This window comes from Homo sapiens, chromosome 19 (genome assembly GCF_000001405.40).
Source record: "Homo sapiens chromosome 19, GRCh38.p14 Primary Assembly".
Lineage (NCBI taxonomy): Eukaryota > Metazoa > Chordata > Mammalia > Primates > Hominidae > Homo > Homo sapiens.
Window position 1 is genome coordinate 41,011,221 of NC_000019.10, and position 7,178 is coordinate 41,018,398.

The 7,178-nt window shown below is 44.7% G+C and overlaps 1 protein-coding gene across 1 annotated transcript in view; it reads left to right on the plus strand.

Annotated features, from left to right (window-relative positions):
- CYP2B6 (cytochrome P450 family 2 subfamily B member 6) overlaps positions 1–7,178 on the plus strand; it is a 27,117-nt gene extending 19,939 nt beyond the window's left edge. The window contains exons 7-9 of the mRNA NM_000767.5: positions 1,078–1,265; positions 1,454–1,595; positions 5,426–7,178. Coding sequence (NP_000758.1) covers positions 1,078–1,265; positions 1,454–1,595; positions 5,426–5,607 — 512 coding nt within the window. The 3' untranslated portion in view covers positions 5,608–7,178. The remainder of the gene's footprint in view (positions 1–1,077; positions 1,266–1,453; positions 1,596–5,425) is intronic.

The window sequence follows — 7,178 nt, forward strand, 5'->3', positions numbered from 1 at the left end:
ATTTCCTTCATTTATCACAATAATTCACTCATTTATTCACCTCTGATCTACTTATCATTCAATCCAGCCTTTCATTTACTCCTTTATTTACTCATACTTCACTAATTTAATTATTCACTTGCTCTTCCATAAATCTAGCCATTCATGTGATTATTCATTAATTGGGTTCATTGATTTCTTTGTCTATGGATCATTCATTAGTGATTAATTAATCAATCCATCTATTAATTGATAAGTAAATACAGACATCCATTTATTGGTTTGTTCATTTATTCATCAATCTTTCCATCCATGAATTGATCTATTGATTGATTGATTGATGTTTTTATCCAGTTGTTCATGAATTCATCTATTGTTCTATTACACTGTTATATACCTGAGGACCAAGAATAGTGTCTCAACTATATTATAAACACAATAAATATTAGTTCATTTTCTACTCATCTTAGAGAGGGTGTTTTGAGAGGTTTGTAGCCTGGAGTTCTTAATCTGAAATTCCATGCAAAATCGTGGTGTGTGTGTGCATGTGTGTGTGTGTACCTGGGCATGTGGGAAGAGGATCTGTAATATTCATTAGATTTCAAGCAGTGAGAATTCTTGTTGCTTCCTCCCTCCTCCCCTCACCCCATGCTGATTACTTTGAGGGGTATCAAGGATCTAACCCTTTACTATAGGTTTTTCATTGGTCAATAGAAAGTAGTGTCCTTGCTGAAAGGTCTCTTTTTAAAAAAATTTTTTTTTCTTTTGAGATGGAGTCTTGCTCTGTCACCCAGTCTAGAGTGCAGTGGCATGATCTCGGCTCACTGCAACCTCCACCTCCTGGGTTCAAGTGATTCTCCTGCCTCAGCCTCCTGAGTAGCTAGGAATACAGGTGTGCACCAGCACACCCAGCTAATTTTTTGTATTTTTAGGAGAGACGGGATTTTGCCATGTTGGCCAGGCTCATCTTGAACTCCTGACCTCAAGGAATCCACCCACCTCAACCTCCAAAATTGCTGGGATTACAGGCATGAGCCACCATGCCTGGCCTGAAATGCCTCTTTAAAATGAGATTCATTGGTCTTCTTTTCTGTACAGAGAGAGTCTACAGGGAGATTGAACAGGTGATTGGCCCACATCGCCCTCCAGAGCTTCATGACCGAGCCAAAATGCCATACACAGAGGCAGTCATCTATGAGATTCAGAGATTTTCCGACCTTCTCCCCATGGGTGTGCCCCACATTGTCACCCAACACACCAGCTTCCGAGGGTACATCATCCCCAAGGTAAGACCGGCTGGAACCCCATAGCCCTCCTGTTTGGGCATCCTGGATTCTCTTAATCCCCGAACTCAACCTTTTGTTAGCTCCTTAATTGAGTCCCGTTGTTTTTGTTTTTTGTATTTCTTTTTTGTGGAGTGTGTGGAGGGTTGGAGGGAATGGCAATATCTTTTGATCTTGTGATCCTCCCTCAGGACACAGAAGTATTTCTCATCCTGAGCACTGCTCTCCATGACCCACACTACTTTGAAAAACCAGACGCCTTCAATCCTGACCACTTTCTGGATGCCAATGGGGCACTGAAAAAGACTGAAGCTTTTATCCCCTTCTCCTTAGGTAAGCTGGACCCACAATTTCTTTCCCAGACACCAGAGGGCAGGTACTATCCCCAACTTGAGAAAAACAACGAGAGATACTGATTATTTGAGCACTTAATATATTCTGATTGCTTCACCTGCCTTATCCCATTCCATCTTCACTACAACCCTATAAGGAGGCTTGAGAAAGAAGATTACATTCCCAAAGGCACATCTTGGCAAGCAGGACCTTGGGCAAGTATTTTAACATCTCTAAACCTCAGTGAGTTCATTTTCTTAAAAAGAAAAAATCTGTTGGGCACCACTGTAAGCCCAGTGCTGTACTGGGGGCTGAAGATAATGCATCAAACAAGTCACACAGAGACAGGGTTCCTGCCCCAGGAAATTTAAAGTCCAGCAGGGAAGATGGGCATTCATCAAATAATAATAAAATAATCATCTCATGAAATGAATGAATGCCTGCAACATGCTTAGAACTGCCTGGCACAAAGGACATGCTCACAAGGGCAATTATTATTATAATTAGACATAATTGTGATAAGTGCTCTAAAGGGAGCTTTGGGAGCACAAAATAGGAAATAGTAGCTAATCTTGTGGTGGGTCCGTAAGGAAAAGCTTACCAGAGGAACTGGCTTCCAAGCTAACATGTTCATGGGTGAGCATCAATCAACCATTGCAAAGTGTGTTCCAGGCAAAGGAAACAGCAAGGACAAAGGCCAAAGGTAGAAACGTGATATGGCACCATTGAGAACCTATAGGAAGTCCAGTGAGCCTTGGGTGTAGATTGCAGAAGGAAATAAGACAAAGGGCTCATCTGGGCAGGACCTTGAAGGTTGCAGGAGGAGTTTGGATTTATGGTCTAGCACTGGGAAGGTGGAAAAGGTCTTGACGTGCTCTGACTTGTCCCAGTTCTCATCCTCTACTCTTTGGCTGGTTAAAAGAAAAACTTTAGACAAATTAAACTTAGCAGAGTCTATCTGAACAAAGAAACAATTCATGAATTGGGCAGCACAAGGAACCAGTAAAGGTTCAGAGAGCTCCATCCAGCAATGTGGTCAGGCACTATTTATCCACAGGGAAAGGAACTGAGGTACTGAAACAGCCTGATTGGTTACAGCTCTGTGTTTGCCTTATCTGAGCATGTCTGGGCAGCTTGTAGCCTGTGACTGGCTGAAGCTTGGCTGCCCTGATTGTCCAAGGTTACTTGTTACAAGAATATACTCTCAAGTTTGTTTACATGTTGAGTTACATTACAATTTGTTATGTAGGGAGGCTGCTTTAGGCCAAATTTAATTGAATTTAACATGCACCATCCATGAAAGGCCCCAGAAACAAACCCCCAGTCTTGAGTTTCATCAGTGACTTCAGTGATCCAGGGTTTGGCCCAGCCCCCGGTTTTGCGCAGTACAGTGACCTCCTTCCACATTTTATCTTCAATGAAAATTGGGAACATGTGTGGTGATGGCTTGAATGTCAATGTCTTCTCTCAATTTTGCTATCTGAAGTTTCTTTTTTTTTTTTTGTCTTCAGACGGAGTCTTCCTGTGTTGCCCAGGCTGGAGTGCAGTGTCACGATCACAGCTCACTGCAACCTCTGCCTCCCAGGTTCAAGTGATTCTCCTGCCTCAGCCTCCCGAGTACCTGAAACTACGGGCGCATGCCACCATGCCTGGCTATTTTTTTTTATTTTTAGTAGAGACTGGGTTTCACCGTGTTAGCCAGGATGGTGCTGATCTTCTGACCTTGTGATATGCCCACCTCAGTTTCTGAAAGTCCTGGGATTACAGGCATAAGCCACTGCGACTGGCCTGCTAATTTGTTTTAAGAGAGGCAGAGATGTAGGGAAATAAGGACAGAGACAGATAAGTAACAAAGATAATGAGACTGAGAAACAGAGTTAGGGACAAAGAGGGAACACATAGAGATAGAGATGGGGAGCCAGTGGCAGAAAGACAGAGGGCAAACCTCAGACAGTATACAGAGAGGAAGAGAGAGAGACACAGAGAGAGAGAGAGTCACGTAAGGAGAAGGAGGAGGAGGAGGAATAAGAGGAGAGAGAGTAGGAAAAGGAAGGAGGAGGGGAGAAAGGAGGGAAAGGAGAGAAACAGAATAAGAGATAGGAAAAAGAGAGAGTGACATAAAAAGAGAGGAAGAAAGAATGAACAAGACAAATAAGGTATCTTTAGAGGGAGATGAAAAGAAAGAATGAGAGAGAAAGAGATTGGGGAGAAATCAGATTCAAATAGATGGAGATAGGAAGTTAAGCAAGATGGAAGAAAGCCAAAAAAAGGAGAGGAAAAGAAGAAAAGCTGTGTCTGACAGGTATAGACAGAGAAAAAGACAGGAGTAGGGCTGCCAGGGGCAGAAAGAAAGGTATAACCCAAGCCAAAAGGGTACTGCAGCCAAAGAAATTCGAAAGGTGTCCAAACAGACGGCCCCAGAGATGGGGAGGGCGTGATGAGAGGGAGATAATAAGCCTCAGGCTGTTGTGAAAAATGTTAGGTCACACAAAGAGTTACAGAAGAACAGGCCCAGAGACCTGCCTGTTTCTAAGCTCATGTCACCCACCTTCTGGGTATGCCAAAGGGATGTGGACACTTTTCCAAACACCTCCACATAGACACACTTGTCCAACAACTTGACAGGCATAGGGAATGCCTGAAAACTCACACTTGACATGGCCTTTCCAAGGTTTGCAGATTATGAAACACTGAAGTGAAGGGAAAGGCTCCCTTTGTCTCTGCCTGAGCTTTTTCCAGCACCCTTTGTTCTTATTTTTCTCCCAATCTGTGGTTTAGAATCTACTGGGGGTTCCTTGCACCTCTGAGAATCAGTGGAAGCCATAGACCCTCCCTGTCTCATACGCATCAGTCCCATTCACAATTTATATACAATTGGGCTTTTCCCCCCTTGAGCTCTTGAAGCCTGTGGATCTCAGGCTGAGACTAGAAGACAGCCTAGAGACACAGACACAGACACATGGCCAGAAACACATACCCCACACATACCCCAGAAACAAACACAAGGCAGTAACCAAACCTTAAGCCTCCTTAGCACAAGCCAAGTGCTATTCTAAGAATTTTTACAATTGTCTCCTTTAACCTCACAAGAGCCCTTTGAGGGAGGTGCCATTCTCCCCATATGAGAAGTGAAGAACACTAAGAATGTTGTCATAAATGTGCTCACACTCACACATGTACAGGTACACACACACACACACACACACAGAACCAGAAATGGGTCATTATACTCTGTGGGTTTCACCAACCCTTTGGAACTGTAACAGAAGCTAGAAACTCTCTTATATAAAAATGAACATGGCGCCGGGTGCAGTGGCTCATGCCTGTAATCCCACTTTGGGAGGCCAAGGCAGGTGGATTATCTGAGGTCAGGAGCTCGAGGCTAGCCTGGCCAATATGATGATACCCCATGTCTACTAAAAATAGAAGAAATTAGCCAGGCGTGGTGGCAGGTGCCTGTAATCCCAGCTACTTGGTAGGCTGAGGCACAAGAATCATTTGAACCACCTGGGAGGTGGAGGTTGCAGTGAGCCAAGATGGTGCCACTGTGCTCCAGTCTGGGTGACAAAGAGAGACTCCATCTCAAAAAAAAAAAAAAAAAAAAAAAAAAAAAAAAAAAGAGAGAGAGAGAAATGAACGTGGCACATCCACTCAAAGATTTGCATCTGGTTTCAGAGCAGCTTCCTAAAAGTCCACCCTGAATTGTAGGTTAAAGGCCAGTCTTATGCAAATCTGTTGCAGTGGACATTTGTGTCTGGGCTTAGGGACATGGCAGAGCGAAGTGTATGCACCTGCCCTGTGCCCACACTGGTGACCTTCTGTGTCCACAGGGAAGCGGATTTGTCTTGGTGAAGGCATCGCCCGTGCGGAATTGTTCCTCTTCTTCACCACCATCCTCCAGAACTTCTCCATGGCCAGCCCCGTGGCCCCAGAAGACATCGATCTGACACCCCAGGAGTGTGGTGTGGGCAAAATACCCCCAACATACCAGATCCGCTTCCTGCCCCGCTGAAGGGGCTGAGGGAAGGGGGTCAAAGGATTCCAGGGTCATTCAGTGTCCCCGCCTCTGTAGACAATGGCTCTGACTCCCCGCAACTTCCTGCCTCTGAGAGACCTGCTACAAGCCAGCTTCCTTCCCCTCCATGGCACCAGTTGTCTGAGGTCACATTGCAAGTGAGTGCAGGAGTGAGATTATCGAAAATTATAATATACAAAATCATATATATATATATGTTCTTGTTTTTTGAGACAGAGTCTCACACTGTTGCCCAGGCTGGAGTGCAGTGGCGTGATCTCGGCTCACTGCAACCTCCACCCCCGGGGATCAAGCAACTCTCCTGCCTCAGCCTCCCTAGTAGCTGGGATTACAGGCATGCACTACCACGCTTGGCTAATTTTTGTATTTTTAGTAGAGATGGGGTTTCACTGTGTAGGCCAGGCTGGTCTCGAACTCCTGAACTCAAGTGATTCACCCACCTTAGCCTCCCAAAGTGCTGGGATTACAGGCGTGAGTCACCGTGCCCAGCCATGTATATATATAATTTTAAAAATTAAGCTGAAATTCACATAACATAAAATTAGCTGTTTTAAAGTGTAAAATTTAGTGGCGTGTGGTTCATTCACAAAGCTGTACAACCACCACCATCTAGTTCCAAACATTTTCTTTTTTTCTGAGATGGAGTCTCACTCTGTCACCCAGGTTCGAGTTCAGTGGTGCCATCTCTGTCCACTGCAACCTCCACATCCTGGGTTCAAGTGATTCTCCTGCCTCAGCCTCTGGAGGAGCTGGTATCACAGGCGTCCCCCACCACGCCTGGCTAAATTTTGTATTTTTAGGTGGTCTTGAACTCCTGATGTCAGGTGATTCTCCTAGCTCCAAATGTTTTCATTATCTCTCCCCCAACAAAACCCATACCTATCAAGCTGTCACTCCCCATACCCCATTCTCTTTTTCATCTCGGCCCCTGTCAATCTGGTTTTTGTCACTATGGACTTACCAATTCTGAATATTTCCCATAAACAGAATCATACAATATTTGATTTTTTTTTTTTTTTTGAAACTAAGCCTTGCTCTGTCTCCCAGGCTGGAGTGCTATGGTGCAATTTTTGTTCACTGCAACCTCTGCCTTCCAAGATCAAGAGATTCTCCAGTCTCAGCTCCCAAGTAGCTGGGATTACAGGCATGTACTACCATGCCTGGCTAATTTTCTTGTAGTTTTAGTAGGGACATGTTGGCCAGGCTGGTGGTGAGCTCCTGGCCTCAGGTGATCCACCCACCTCAGTGTTCCAAAGTGCTGATATTACAGGCATAATATGTGATCTTTTGTGTCTGGTTGCTTTCATGTTGAATGCTATTTTTGAGGTTCATGCCTGTTGTAGACCACAGTCACACACTGCTGTAGTCTTCCCCAGTCCTCATTCCCAGCTGCCTCTTCCTACTGCTTCCGTCTATCAAAAAGCCCCCTTGGCCCAGGTTCCCTGAGCTGTGGGATTCTGCACTGGTGCTTTGGATTCCCTGATATGTTCCTTCAAATCTGCTGAGAATTAAATAAACATCTCTAAAGCCTGACCTCCCCACGTCAA